At 43.9% G+C, this 15,381-nt stretch overlaps 1 protein-coding gene across 5 annotated transcripts in view, besides 3 other annotated features; it reads left to right on the forward strand.

Moving 5' to 3' along the window:
- Positions 1 to 15,381, forward strand: part of SDK1 (sidekick cell adhesion molecule 1) — a 967,749-nt gene that overhangs the window by 733,429 nt on the left and 218,939 nt on the right. For all 5 annotated transcript variants that reach the window (NM_152744.4, XM_047420038.1, XM_047420037.1 and 2 more), the window contains one exon: positions 14,668 to 14,783. In NM_152744.4, coding sequence (NP_689957.3) covers positions 14,668 to 14,783 — 116 coding nt within the window. The remainder of the gene's footprint in view (positions 1 to 14,667; positions 14,784 to 15,381) is intronic.
- Positions 5,475 to 6,111: an enhancer, noted in NCBI's record as "OCT4-NANOG-H3K27ac hESC enhancer chr7:4079787-4080423 (GRCh37/hg19 assembly coordinates)". NCBI's record gives its function as "activates a minimal SCP1, AML or CMV promoter by ChIP-STARR-seq in primed H9 embryonic stem cells {active_cell/tissue: H9 hESC(primed)}" and the evidence as "EXISTENCE:reporter gene assay evidence [ECO:0000049][PMID:30033119]".
- Positions 6,112 to 6,747: an enhancer, noted in NCBI's record as "OCT4-NANOG-H3K27ac hESC enhancer chr7:4080424-4081059 (GRCh37/hg19 assembly coordinates)". NCBI's record gives its function as "activates a minimal SCP1, AML or CMV promoter by ChIP-STARR-seq in primed H9 embryonic stem cells {active_cell/tissue: H9 hESC(primed)}" and the evidence as "EXISTENCE:reporter gene assay evidence [ECO:0000049][PMID:30033119]".
- Positions 8,088 to 8,613: an enhancer, noted in NCBI's record as "H3K27ac-H3K4me1 hESC enhancer chr7:4082400-4082925 (GRCh37/hg19 assembly coordinates)". NCBI's record gives its function as "activates a minimal SCP1, AML or CMV promoter by ChIP-STARR-seq in naive H9 embryonic stem cells {active_cell/tissue: H9 hESC(naive)}" and the evidence as "EXISTENCE:reporter gene assay evidence [ECO:0000049][PMID:30033119]".

Raw genomic sequence — 15,381 nt, forward strand, 5'->3', positions numbered from 1 at the left:
AAAAATGAACTTGCAGACAAATGAAAAGATACAGGTACAAGCCTATTCGCTGCAACACCACTTGTTATAGCAAAAGACTGGAATCTACCAAAATGCCCATCATTAAGAGACCGACTGAGTAGACCATGGTATATCCACAAGATGGCATATTATATATCATAACAGAAAGAGGACGAATTCGAGAACTAGAGCTATGGGGAAAAAGAAGGTACCAAAATAGAAATCAGCATTCTCTGAATATATTTGCTTATAGAATTGGCTTTGAAAGCATGTAAATATATTTTATCTATTCATAGCACTAAATTAATTTTTTTTGGAGACGGAGTCTTGCTCTGTTGCCCAGGCTGGAGTGCAGTGGCACAGTCTTGGCTCACCGCAACTTCCACCTCCCGGGTTCAAGCAATTCTCCTGCCTTAGCCTCCCGAGTAGCTGGGATTACAAGCACGTACCACCATGCCCAGCTATTTTTTTTTTTCTTATCTTTAGTAGAGATGGGGTTTCACCATGTTGGTGAGGCTGGTCTTGAACTCCTGACCTCAAGCAATCCATCCACCTTGGCCTCTCAAAGTGCTGGGATTACAGGTGTGTGCCACCATGCCCAGCCAGCACTAAATTAATTTTTAAGCCTTTGGAAAAGAAATTCTAAGAAATTGAAGGCAAAATTAAGCAAAGGGACAGAATTGTATACTGAGTTGGTGGCATAACAGTATGGAAAGTAACTGTTTCACATAACTTTGAAAGATGGAAATTTGTACATCCTAGTGGGATGTACTCTAAGGACAAAGAAAAAAAGATTTTCAACTGTTTTCAGCCATTGGAATGTTGGTGGGAGTGGCATGGCAGATTTGTGTCTTTAAGACAGTTGCATGAGTATTGTGGGGCTAAAGCAACTAAGTGATTATGTTGATGTCTTTGGGAAATGAGATTTTCAGCCCAGTCTTAACTTTAAGTCTGAATTGGGACTATAATGATTTTACCTTTTAAAACTTAACCTAGTGGCACTGAGCTTCCTAGTAACAGAAAAATAGCAAGTTTCTTGGATAAACACATGATTGCAGGTCAGAAGCAGATAATGTGTAAGATGAGCCTGGAACATCTCATCATTCCAAGAAGCAAAGACGGTATGCTATCAACTATCAACATGGCCTTGTCAAAAAAACTCTTAGGCCAACTTGAAGAGGCTCCTGCTAGTTAAAGATGGGAAAATTTACAAATCCATAATAATAATAATAACTGCAATGGACTGAAATGCTTCAAGTACATTTCAATCCGTAACTATTCAATGCTGAATTTGTATGAAACTTCCAAGTCAAAAATCTCTTTTAAGATTTTTAGTAAGAAACTTGAGCTTCATCGGTGAACATAACATTTTCTACACCGGATTTTATTCTTGTGATGACTTCATTCAAGACTTTTAATGATAACCTCTTCAAATATTTGAAAGCCGCAATTGACAAGAAAGCTTCTGCCAAAGTAGGAGGTCACAATTGCTGGGAAATTATTTATTGCTTTTTCCTTAGTTGAGAGCAACTTTTTTCTTGACATTAACTAGAATTCAGATAATTAAGTCTCTTTAAATTATACTATAAGGGTACAGTGTTTCTTTAGGTCGACAGTTCTTCTTTTTATTTCTTTGACAAAAGTAATGAATGGTTTTGTGATCGTGTAAATGGATTTGGAATCTGATCAAATGTTTTTAATATCAGGTATTTCAAAATAATGGGCATTTCTGTAGACCTACATGGATGCCGCTCTACCAGTCTTCATTATTTTTCTTTAGGGCATAAACACTGACTTCTTTAGGATTACAAAACTGATTACATCTCACAGTTTTTAACACCGTAACATAGTTGAAATTTTGCTTTGAATCCATACATTTTACACGTACACGTTAGTATATGCCATGGTCTAAATATTAGTGTCCCTCCAAAATGTGTGTGAAAATTGTAACCCCCAGGAGATGGTGTTAGGAGATGGTGCCTTTGAGGGGATTAGATTGTGAGGGCTGGTTGGGATTAGCACCCTTATGAAAGAGACCTCTGAGAGCTAGCTAGTCCCTTCTGTCATATGAGATTACAGTTAGAAGGCACCATCTCTAAGAAAACAGGCCCTCACCAGACACTGAATCTGCCTCAGTCTTGGCCATCCCAGCTTGCAGAACTGTGAGAAATAAATGTTTGTTGTTTATGTGCTACACAGTCTATGATATTTTTGTTATAGCAGCCTGAACTAAGTTGGTATACTTTTCACAGGTTCTTGCAGCTGTCTATTGCATTCACTCAGGTGCCCAAAGACGTCATTTAAGAGGCCGTTTTTGATACCAATATCCTCTGCTTTAACCAATCTTCAAAGTGAGACCCCTTCACCAAAAGTAATAACAATGATGATGATAACGATGCATTGTTCATAGATTCTTGCAAAACTCTTTGGACAGCCAATGCTTGTCAATTTGAAATTGCAATAGGAAATTTAAACGTTTCTGCTTTTGAATAATATTGTTTGAAGATGCATGGATGACAGGTCAGATGACCAAAGACGAACTTCATCTAGAAGATCATTAAATCGAACAAGCTTCGACTGCACACTGGGAGAACTGATGTTAGTAACAACACTTGATGTGTAGCGTGAGTCTGAATCTCTCAAAAGAAATTCTTGGGCTAGGCATGGTGGCTCATTACCTGTAATCCCAATACTTTGGGAGGATGAGGTGGGGGGATCAGTGGAAGCCAGGGGCTTGAGACCAGCTTGGGCCGCATAGTGAGACCCATCTCTACAAAAAATGCAAAAAATTAGCTGATTGTGATGACTCATCTGTAATTGCAGCTACTCGGGAGGCTGAGTTGGGAGGATCGCCTGAGCCTGGGAGGTTGAGGTTGCTGCAGTGGGCCATGATTGAAACATTGCATCCCAGCTTGGGCGACAGTGCAAGACCACATCTCAAAAATAAAAATAAAATAGCTTCTTTTGTCAAAAATGACATTCTGATTCCATATTTTTCACAAAGCAAAAAGCAAGTGGGACCATAGCATCTTGGATTTTATTAGACGTGCCATTCTGATAACATCACTTAATGAGGAATACAGCTTTATAGGCCATCTTTTACCTAGAGACCTTCTCTGCGAATACAACAATGGATTTCTTGATTCCCAGGCTCTTCAGATTGAATTTTGCTATAAAGTGTTTATACCTTTTTACCATCATTGGTATCCAAAACTTATAATTTTTTTCTCTATTATGTATTCCAAAGTGTTTGTGTAAGCTTTGACCATTTCATCCCCAGCAGTTTGTCTGGTATATGGTAGATACTGTAGTGCTGCCACCCAGGTCGGTTCTTCAGGGTGACACAGCTGTCCCCAGTGCTGGCACATAGGCTGCCCAGCTCACAGCTGTGACCTTCACTGAGAACTGCCTGACCAAGGTGACACCCCTCCCATGGGTCATCCTGTGGCTAACGGCGCCACAGGAAAGCCCAGTCCCCTTTGAATCAGTTGAGGACAACTTAAGACCCCTCTATTCCAGAGCTCCCCAGAGGATCGACTGAGGCCTCAGCTACTGCCATCCTGTGGGACAGCTTCTCCTTCTGCCCTGTCCTGGCCTCCCCACTTCCTGGCAGATGTCTCTGTTGAGTTCCACTGAAACTTAAACTCCAAACTCTTCACGCCCAGAGTCTATGACCGGGGCAAACAATTGAAGACAGGGAATTTTTTTTTTTGTACCTTAAATAGTGTTCAAAGCATTTATTTTGAGGGATTCAAACTCATGCCATACACCAAGTGCCGTTACTAACATCAGCACTTATCAATCTGCAGTGGAAGCTTGTTTGATGTAATAATCCTCTAGACTGGGTTTCTCTGGGTCATTTGACCTGTCATCCATGCATCTTCTAATGGTATTATTCGAAAGCGGTACTTTTCTTATTTCCTGTGCTTCACTGGTCCCAAACATGTTGCTGACAGTTTCTAATGCACCTTGGCAAAGTGAGTGATTCTGCAATTGCAGGAGGAATTTTGGCTTTGGCTGTTAAATGCAGGACATTGGAACTAGCATCTTGTATTCAGTCTGACACAGTTGTGGTCCACTCATCAATACTCCCACTTCTTATTGTGTAACTGCAGACAATTTTCCCAGTTCTGATCTTTTTCTGTATGAGATCAATGCTTTAGGGAAAGGTGCTGGCATAATTTGCCTGATGTCATTGCATCTTCTGATTCCTTTTTCATTAAATACGACATTGAGACAGAAGAAGACAGGATTATTGGAAAATGCAAATCTGAATTTGAGATCATTTTCATTATAATTTCCTGAGTAGCAACTTTTTTTACCACTCTACTTGGTACACTTGATGACTTTCTTTAATTAAAAAACGTAAGGACAAAAAACCAAACACCGCATGTTCTCACTCATAGGTGGGAATTGAACAATGAGAACACATGGACACAGGAAGGGGAACATCACACACCGGGGCCTGTTGTGGGGTGGGGGGAGCGGGGAGGGATAGCATTAGGAGATATACCTAATGTTAAATGACGAGTTAATGGGTTCAGCACACCAACATGGCACATGTATACATATGTAACTAACCAGCACGTTGTGCACATGTACCGGAAAACTTAAAGTATAATAAAAAAAAAAGTTTCTTATTATGATGGGAAAATATCTCTCTATAAATATGCAACAGTATTAAAAATATCAACCTAAGTAATTTTACTAAATATATACATATTTAAATATAAAAGTATATAAAGTGGCCTGTAGGCCTTAATGGCTTCAAAAATTAACTTTTCAAGATATTTTGATTGCATACATCCTCAAGAATGTTTCAAAATAAATCAAGTTGAAAAATTCAAAAAGCAAAGCTTGCATTAACCAAAATGAGCAATATTGACATTCCTTTTTATTTGATTGGACAATTAAAGTTCTGAAAAACTCATGAATATAAATGTCAGTGATGTCATCTCTGATCCAAAATATTTTGAAAACTCAATTATTTGAAGATATAAAACCCTACAGTCCTCTTTACTGAGTTGATTTAATTATGGAACTTATTATAACATCTTTAAAAATCTGTAAAAACAGTAATTTATTTTGAGATTCCATCAGTAATCAGATCTTGCTAAATTTACATCATCACTAGCCAGAAACGAAGGGAAGGGGGTGGGGGAGAAGAAAATTTTAAAAATCATTTTTGTTTTAATAAGGAACACCTAATACCAGATAATAATTATAAACATAATCATACGTTTTACTTAGTCACATAGGTAAAAATACTAGCAAATTAATTGAATAAGAAGCGCCCCCACATGCTGAGCATGTTACTGAACCAAACTGGGTTTGTCTGTCCCTGCATGAGAGGAAGACGCTGAAGCACTGGGTTTTTGCAGCAAAAAAGCTTTATTGAATGTCAAGTGGTGAGGAGCAGGAGGAAAGACTCAAATCTGTCTCACCACACTGGGGGCTGTACCGGGCTTTATAAGCATAGGGTAATGAGGCGTGTTCTGATTGGATCTTGCAGTGGGGTAACGCCAGAGCTGAATCTGATTGGATCCTGCTTCAGCTTTGCCATGTCCATTTCTTAATCCAGTCCCTGCTCCTCTGCCTGAGCACTTAGGTTCCCCCACCGTGGTTGCATGCTTGGTTCATCTGAGTGTGCTCAGAGTCTGTAGTCTTCAACCCGGGGGTCCGTGGCAACTGAAAAACAACTCACAACCTACTTACACACAAGTCGAACCACATTGTGAAGCGGCATTTTTGTCTAGGGTAATACCCAAAGTTTGTTGTCTCACGCTGACGAAATCAAGGACCCGGACACACAAGGAGTGAGGTTAAGAGTGGAGGTTTAATAGGCGAAAGAGAGAAGAGCTCTCTCCTGCAGAGGGGTCCGGAGTGGGTTTTTCCAGTCCGCCACAAAATGCAAAGGATTTTACAGATGAGCTGGAGGAGGCAATGTCTGATTTACATAGGGCATGAAAGATTGGTCAGACCAGGTGTGCCATTTGCATAAGGCACAAAAAACCAGGACTGGATGCGCCATTTGCATAGCCTCCAAAAATCTGGCCACCCACACCCTAATCTTTTATTATGCGGATGGGTTATCTCCCCCGCTGGTGCCTTGTTGCCTGCATTTTTACTGTACACGTGGTGACAAAGAAAACGGAAGATGGAGCCTCCATGTTGAATGTGTCTGGCCCTCAGGTAGCCCTTTTCTGTTGGCACAGCTGCCGGCATTCACCTGTGCAAGTTTCTAGCTTGCTTATCTATGTCTGCAGCTCAGTTTTTCAGGCTGCTCTTTGTTAGAAAAGAAATGATTTGGGAGCTGTTTTCTGTTAAAAGGGAAGCCTTGCCAAAGACTCTCTTACCCTCACTATCTGCCTAAATAATTTCTTTCTAGCTCCTGTATCAATTGGTCCTGTGCCTGGTACAGACAAACAAATTCACAGATGAGAAACAACCTGCAAGTGAAATAAAACAGCTTGATAAGAGGGGTCCATGGGGGTGTCAGGGAAGTGCCGTGTGGCTCAGCCAACCTGTGCCTTTCTGCAGCAGATCCTCTCAAGAGAGTTACCGGGTTCAGAAAGTTTACAGGAACCACATGCATAGTTTTGTTTTACTTTTTTTTTTTTTTGGAGTACTTTCAGATTCATAGGACAGTTGAGTAGAAAGTTAAAAGAGTTTTGATATACTCTCTGCCCAACATGTACAAAGCCTCTCCCACTATCAGCATCCCCCACCAGAGTGGTACCTTTCTTATGAGCAGTGAACCTACCTTGATACATCACTACCCAAAATCCATAGTTTACGTGAGGGTTCACGCTTGGCACTGTGCATTCTGTGGGCTTTGAGAAGCATATGGTGACATGTATCCCCCGTTATAGCCTACAGAAGAGTTTCCTTGCCCTCAAAACCCCCATGCTCCTCCTGTTCACCCCTCCTGACTGCCGACCCCCAGCAGCCACTGGTCCTTTTGCTGTCTCCATAGTTTGACCTTTTCCAAAATGTCATATGTAGTTGGAATCACACAACACATGGCTTTTCCAGAATGACATCTTTCACTGAGGAATGTTTAATGCATGCGTGTCGTGAAAACACAGCATATATATAGTGAAAACAGCATGAAATGTAACTTCAACAGCTGCAATTTTTTTTTTCTTTTTTGTGACGGAGTCTCGCTCCCTTGCCAGGCTGGAGTGCAGTGGTGAGATCTCGGCTCACTGCAACCTCCGCCTCCCAGGTTCGAGCAATACTCCTGCCTCATCCTCCTGAGTAGCTGGGACTACAGGCCCGCGCCACCACGCCCAGCTAATTTTTGTGTTTTTAGTAGAGGTGGGGTTTCATCATGTTGGCCCGGATGGTCTCTATCTCTTGACCTCGTGATCCACCCACCTTGGCCTCCCAAAGTGCTGGGATTACAGGCATGAACCACCGTGCCCGGCCAACAGTTGCAAATGTTTGAATGGCTGTAAACGGTGGTTTATGGCTACAAAAACTAACAGATATCCCTGTCTCTGGGTCCCTGTGTAACCTATCCGAGGCACAGTGAGAGACCACTGCACTGTCCCACCTCCTTCTTCCCCATCCACTCCCAGAAATCCTCTCTTCAGGTAGGAGAAACTGCTACTCTCTGATCCAGGTTTCACATATTTCCGTGGGATATAAAACCCCTAGTGCCTGAAACTGCTCTTCTGGTTTCTCCTTTCACCTGTGATTATTCCCTGAGTGTCGGGGGCTTCAGGACAGAAGACTTTGTCATTGGCTGTGAGCATCAAGACAGTGTCCAATGGGTTTAGGCTGAGAGCCAGCTCAGCCAGGTGCCTGCGTGGGGGGAATTATCCAGTGAAAAGATATTTGTCTGCTCAGTGAAAACCAGAAAGGAGCATAACACCTGTCACGTTACCAGCCTGCCTCCAGGCCTGCCATTGGAGGCACAGCAAGGGTCTAATGCTAATCATCCGGGGAGGAAGTGTCCCTTGAGGCTTAGTCTGAGCAGCGGGAGGCCACGCTGCACACTTGAAACCCCTTTTGCCTTGACTTTTCTGCAGCATAGTTGGACTAAGCCCTTGTCGTTGGCTTAAGAAGGGGCAGGGTTATGTAACCCTCAATAATTAAGACCTTTCCAGCCATAACCACTCTTTTATTTTCAACACTGTCAAGAAGGATTTGCCGGCTGTAACTCTTTCTCGCTTGAGGGCATTTTTAATTCCATTGTCCACAAATTTCTGAGTCATTTCTGATGGCGGTAATCAGGACAAAGAGAAGCCGAAGACCTGGGAATAAAAGCAAGGTTGGCGATTTTTTGAATTAAACCTAGGGTATTGAGAGAAAGGAAACTGAGGCTTTAGAACCTCCCTTGTCCTGTGACTGGGGAAGGAGAGTGTGTGCCCACAGGTCAGGCTCCGAATCTGACACCAGGGAGCCCAGGTAGAGTGAGTGTCACAGCCAGGGGCTCAGGTAGAGTGAGTGTCACAGCCAGAGACCCAGGTAGAGTGAGTATCATAGCCAGGAGCTCAAGTAGAGTGAGTGTCACAGCCAGGGGCCCAGGTAGAGTGAGTGTCACAGCCAGGGGCTCAGGTAGAGTGAGTGTCACAGCCAGGGGCCCAGGTAGAGTGAGTGTCACAGCCAGGGGCCCAGGTAGAGTGAGTCACAGCCGGGGGCCCAGGTAGAGTGAGTGTCACAGCCAGGGACCCAGGCAGAGTGAGTGTCACAGCCAGGGACTCAGGCAGAGTGAGTGTCACAGCCAGGGGCTCAGGTAGAGTGAGTGTCACAGCCAGGGCCTCAGGTAGAATGAGTGTCACAGCCAGGGGCTCAGGTAGAGTGAGTGTGAGAGCTCGTGATTTTAGGTAGCCCACATAATGAGAAGGGAGGGGAAAATGCCTTGTTAAATGGGTGAACTCAGGAATTTGTTTCTCTGTAAACATGGTGTGCCCCAGAGAGGCACTGCCTCCAGGATGCAGGACCAGAACTTGACGTGAGGATTGTGCTGCAGCCACGCAAAGGTACAGACGTCCTCTTGAATCTGCAGGAAATGACTACTTATTTAAATTATGCAAATTTTTTTGTTGCATATGATCCTCATAGCCTTACTTTAGAGAATTTAACAACATTTGATATTTGGTATTCTGGCATTCCTGAGTCAGTAATTGGGCTTCGTGAAACCCCAGAGCTAAACCTACCGAGAATGAGATGCCGTCCTCAACCCCAGAGGTTGTGGGTTCTAAGAGAAAACGTCACAACAAATGTTGGTCTTTTCCCAATAGCTCCTGGCGTTTATTCTTTCTTTTCCCTTTTCTTCCTTTTTCTCCTTCCTCCTCTTGTGTTTTCTTTTCTTTCTTTCAGCAGAGATTGTTCTGGTCATCTATTGCTGCCTAACTGACTACCCCAAAACTTAGAGATTAAAAGCAACACCTGTTTATATGTCATGATTTTGCGGGTCAGGAGTTGGAGCAGGGCTTGGATATGTGACCGTCTGTGCCTCTCATTCAGTTGGGAAGATGGCTTCGTGCACACGTTGGCGCCATGGCTAGGAAAGCGGAAAGGCTGGCTCCCTGGGCTGTCCACTGGGCAGCTGCCCCTGGCCTCGCCAGCCTGCAGCCTCAGGATCCCCACACTCCTACCGCTGCTCAGGGCTCCCGGAAGGCAGCAGAAGCTGCTAGTTTATTAGGACCTGGATCATACTCTATTGGTCAAGCAGTCTCAGAGCCTACATTGAAGGGTTTCAGACATAGACACCACCTCTTCATGGGAAAAGTATCAAAGAATATGCAGCATTTTGCTTTGCTTTATTTTTTTTTAGGGACAGGGCCTTACTCTGTTGCTTGGAGTGCAGTGGCAGGAGCATAGCTCACGGTAACCTCAAACTCCTGGGCTCAAACCATCCTCCCACCTCAGCCTCCCAAGTAGCTAGGACTACAGGTGCATGCCACCATGCCTGGCTACTTTTTTTACTTTTGTAGAGACAGATTATCTCACCCTGTTGCCCAGGCTGGTCTCAAACTCCTGGGCTCAAGCGATCCTCCCACCCCAGACTCCCAAAGTGTTGGGATTACAGGCATCAGTCACCATGCCCTGCCTGCAGCATGTTTGAAAAGTGAGATTTATTGTGGTTTCATAATTTACATACAGTAAAACTCACCCTTTCTAGAGTACAGTTATATATACATTTTCACAAACATCTTTAGCCCACATTCACCAGCGTGACGGAGATATGACTATTTCTGTCACCTCCCCCAAAAGTCTTTGTGCTTTTATATTCACCCCTTTACCCCCACCCCAGCACTTGGCAAGCACTGCTGTTTTTTCTTCTTATATCTTTGCCTATTTCAGAACATCATATAAATGGAGCATGCAGTGTGCAGTCTTCAGAACCTGGCTTCCTTCCCTTAGTGTCATGCATTTGAGATTCACCTGTGCGTTCATGCGTATAAGTATTTTGTTCCCTTCTACTACTGAGCAGCATCCCATTCCATAGACACACTACAGTTTGTTTCCCATCCATTGGTTTAAAAACATTTAGGATGTTTGCAGTTTGGGGTGATTATTAAAGCTGCTATGAATATCACATATAGATTTTATTTATTTATTTATTTAGAGACAGGGTCTCACTCTGTGCCCAGGCTGGAGTGCAGTGGTGTAATCACAGCTCACTGCAGCCTCAACCTCCTGAGCTCTAGTGATCCCCCCATCTCAGCCTCCCAAGTAGCTGGGACTATAGGTGTGTGCCATCATGCCCAGCTACTTTTTTGATTTTTTTTTGTAGGGACGGGGTCTCTCTGTGTTACCCAGACTGGTTTCAACCTCCTGGGCTCAAGCGATCCTCCCACCTCGGCCTCCCAAAATGCTGGGATTACAAGTGTGAGCCACTATGCCCCGCTTCATGTAGATTTTTATGTGAACTTTTACATGTCTTGTGCACAGTTACCCGGGGGCAGGATTACCGGGTCACGTGGCTCGCGCATGTTTAACTTCGTAAGAAAGCACCAAACGGTCCCACCAGGTGGCCGTGCCATGGGCATCCGCATCTCAAACTGCGAGGGCCTTGGGCACTCCACATCTTCACGGACATGGGTTGTTATTGCTGTTGGTTTGTGATGTTTGAGTCCTTCTAATAGGGGTCCAGGGCATCCCATCATGGTAAATGGGATGGTGAGGTTCTCTTCACTCATGGATTTCCTGTCGTTCTATTGGCTTTGGTGAAGTAACTATTCTTTTTGCGTACATTTTTGGTTTTCTTACAGTTGAATTTTGAAAATTCTTTTTTCTGCATAGTAGGTTTTTGTTCTTTTTTTTTGTTTTTTTCTTTTTAAGAGACAAAGTCTTACTTGGTTGCTCACGGCAGCCTCACACTCCTGGGGTCAAGGGATCCTCCTGCCTCAGCCTCCCGAGTAGCAGGGACTACAGGCATGCACTACCACACCCAGCTGATTTTTTTTTTTAATTTTGTAATTCTTTGTAGCGGTGGGGTCTCACTATGTTGCCCAGGCTGGCCTCAAAGTCCTGGCCTCAAGCGATCCTCCTACCTCAACCTCCCAAAGTTCTGGCATTCCAGCCGTGAGCCATGAGCCACAGCACCCGGCCTGGATAAACGTTCTTTATTGGGTATCTGTCTTGCACACGTTGTCTCCCAGTCTGTGGCCTGTCTTTTCATGAAGTCAGCTTTATTCATTTTTTTTCTTTTATGGATTATGTCCTTGATATTCTATCTGAGAAATTTTTCCCTAACCCAGTGTCATAACTGTTTTTTCCTAGAAGTATTAATAATTATAGGTTTACATTTATGCCTCTGATCCATTTTGAGTTAGGTTTTATAAATGGTAAGAAATATAGATCTAGATTTTGTCTTATTTTGTGAATGAATGTCTAATATTTCCAGCACCATTTGTCGAAATTACTATCTTTTCTTTGTGCTTTTATTGAAAACCAGTGATATATGTGTGAGTAATTTCTTGCCTGTCTTCTCTGATCAGTGTGTCCAGCCCTTCTCCAGTAACACCCGTTTTAATTACTGTTGATTTCCAGTTAGTCTTGAAATCATACAGTAAAGGTTATCCAAATTTTTTTCAGACTTGCTTTGGCTATTCTAGTTACCTTGCTTTTCCATATAGATTTTAGAATCACCTTTTCAATGTCTAGGAGATATCTAGCTGTGATTTTTTTTTTTTCTTTTTTGAGAGCGGGTCTTGCTCTGTAACCCAGGCTGGAGTGCAGTGTAGCTGGGATTTAGATTGGGGTTTTATTCACTATATTGATTGGTTTGGGGAGAATTGACCTCTTTACTGTGTTTTCTTCCAATGCACCCATGTGATATGATTCTGTATTGACTTAGGTGTTTGGTTTCCTTCATTCGTGTTTTGTAGTTTTCCGTGCACAGCTATTGCACGTAGTTTGTTAAACTTGTATCTATTTTATGTTTTTAGAGCTTAAATGAGATATTAGCTGTAGGCGTTTTATAGGTGCCCTTTTTAAAATTTAGAATGTTCCTTTAAATTCCTACTTTGCTGAGAGGGTTTTTTCTTTTTTAAAAAATCACAATTGATTATTAAATTTTGCCGAATGCTTTTCCTAAATCTATTAAGATGTTCATATGTTTTTCTATTTTATTCTGTTGATGTGATGAATTACTTTGATTGTTATTCACATCTTGAGCCAGCCTTCCATGTATAAGATACACCTCGCTTGATCAGGCTAGACTATGACTGTTATATATTGTTGAATTTTATTTTCTAATATTTTGTTGAGGATTTTTTTGAATTTGTGTTCATGATGGATATTGGTCTATAGTTTTCCTTCAGAGGCTTTTTCTGATTTTGGTATCAGGGTAATGCTTTAGAATTGGTTTAATTTATTCCTCAAATGCTTGGTGGAATTCATCCATGAAATATGCGTAGTTCTTACCTTTGTTCCTCTGGATGCTGTGTGTCTGCGCTCCCAAAGCTTCTGTCCTCTCTTGTAGCTCACATTCAGCCTTCGGCCATTCATTGAGGATTTTGGGTGAATTTCAGAATTTCCATTGTCTCCTCCTCCCGCGCTCTGTGACGGGTGAGCAGGACCCATCCTGACTCCTTGGACAGGCCCATCTTTCCTTGTGTTTCCGACCACCTGGCTGGTATGCAACCTAAGCTGTCTTATGGGCTCAGGAAAAGTGATTGTTTTGTACTTTGTTCAACTTTTCTTGTTCTTAGGTGGATGTGATGTTCTTTCCAATGCTCGGCATCCCAGGCACAGCAAGCCCTGTGTCCATTTTTAACCCACACATTTTACAGGATGGCAAGTAGGGCAGTTTCCTGGTGACTTAGAGAGGGGGCCGAGGGGCATCACAGCCATGACCAGCAGTGGATGGGGACAGAGGGTCCTCCTGCATGCCTGGGAAGAGAAGACTTGAGGGGCTTGGCCAAGTTTATGTTTGTCTCATCTCTGCCTGAGACGGGCTTTTGGGGAAGGGAGCCGAGAAGAGTGTAGCGATTTTCACCAGGACCACATGGGATCCCGTGTGTTCCGGCCGAGAAGACCCTTGTTTTTCTTTCTCTGCGTGGATCCACAGGATCTTAGGCTTCTGTGCCTCACTTTAGAACAAGCACCTGAAGAACCAGGACCTTCCTTCCACCCAGTGGAAGCCTTGATGGTGCAGCCGGAGGCTTGGCTCCTCTCTGCAGGCCACTGGGGTTCCCATCCTGAAGAAGCTAGCCCTGCCCACTGCCCTTTCCGGAAGGCCTTCAGTTCCCCATTGCCTTATGTATGCGTCATCAGCCGTGCTGCTGGGCACGGTAGACAATCCCAGCGAGACCCGCGCACTGTCAGCACCCCGCTTCCCCCCACCCCTCGTCCAGCCGTGCTCCGTGTGCACCCATCCTCGCCAGGCTCCTTGGCAACATTTTGCCTTTTCCCATGGCTCTCCCAGCTGAGAGTGCCCTTCTCAAGAACTTACCCCTCACAGGCCACCCTTCCTCCCAAACACAGTCCAGATGAGGCCCTCCAGCCCTCCCAGGCCAGAGGCAGTCATCTGCCCTTCACGAGTTTGCTGCTCTGCAGAGCATCTGCCTCTTACAGTTACACGAGCATGTCCCCTAGAAAGGGCATGCCCTGAAGGCAGTCATTTGGCAGGTATATAATTGGGTTCAATAGCTGTTCTGTAAAAGAGAGAAACAAACTGTGGAAAATCCAAAAATGATTGTCCCCGTTGACAGACAAAGAGAAATTTAACCTCCAACAGCATATATGGGACAAGGGTGATGATTTTGTTTGCTTGTTCCCCACCCCCCGCCTCAATGTAATGAACAATTTAGCTTGAAACATAGTGGTATATATTGAGGGAGGATTTCTAGATGAAACCTTGCCTTGATCTCAAATATCTGTTCATTGAAAAAGAGATTAGAGAAAGCTTTGCTTGCCGTCCGTCTTGGAACCACAGGAAAGGCCCATCTGTGGAATGAGAGGATGGTCTGGTCCACCTTTCTGCCTATGCCTTAAAGAATTCTGCAAGAGAAAATGAAAAATAGCCCAATTCTCTTTCTTGGTAATGCCACTGTAAGCTTCCCAAAACATTCATCACACTTCCTCGGTCTCAGTGCAATAATTGCCTGTGAGCATGATGGCAGCTAAGGGTTTCCTTTCTGTCTCTCCACCCCATGGTCCCTCCTGCCATTTGTTCTGCTGTCATCAATGACTGCCCTGCCACAGTGCCCACCGCGCCCCCGCAGAACGTGCAGACGGAAGCCGTGAACTCCACCACCATTCAGTTCCTGTGGAACCCTCCGCCTCAGCAGTTTATCAATGGCATCAACCAGGGATACAAGGTACGTGGCCTGGGTTCAGGGCCTGTGGGCAGCTGTCATTGTCTGGAGCCACAGCGCGACGCAGCTGGAGGCACCCCCTCTTGTGTATCAAGAGCTGGTTGCATTAAGATACAGGGCGTCTTGACCTTGGTGAGACCACCATTTATCCAAAGTCTTGGCATCAGCTCTGCAGGTTCAGAAATTCAAATTCCTAGTTATCAAGAGGATGGTTCATACATCAGTGAGCAATTTCTTATGAGAAAGGCCATTCATTTTTAAATGGTGGGTGGGAGACGTGTCTCAGTGATTAGAATGAATATTTGCACAAACTACTTCTTCCCAGAAGGAGGTCCTCTCAGGAGAACACAGGCCCCGAGCAAAGGGAATGGTGTGAGTGATATTTCCATGGAGAAAGGATAGTTTTCTCTCCTCCCTTTCTACTTCAGGGAGAGTTCTGTTTAAAGAACTGAGACCAGTTGATTCCAGCTACCCGCCCATACTGAATTAGACACATAGACAAATTTCCATCATCCGACTTCTTGTGTCTTTAGCTACCAGAGTGTGTTAACTTCACTGATGTACCAGGATACACCATCACAAAGCACAGCTGATCCTCCCT

This window comes from Homo sapiens, chromosome 7, assembly GCF_000001405.40.
Source record: "Homo sapiens chromosome 7, GRCh38.p14 Primary Assembly".
Classification (NCBI taxonomy): Eukaryota; Metazoa; Chordata; class Mammalia; order Primates; family Hominidae; genus Homo; species Homo sapiens.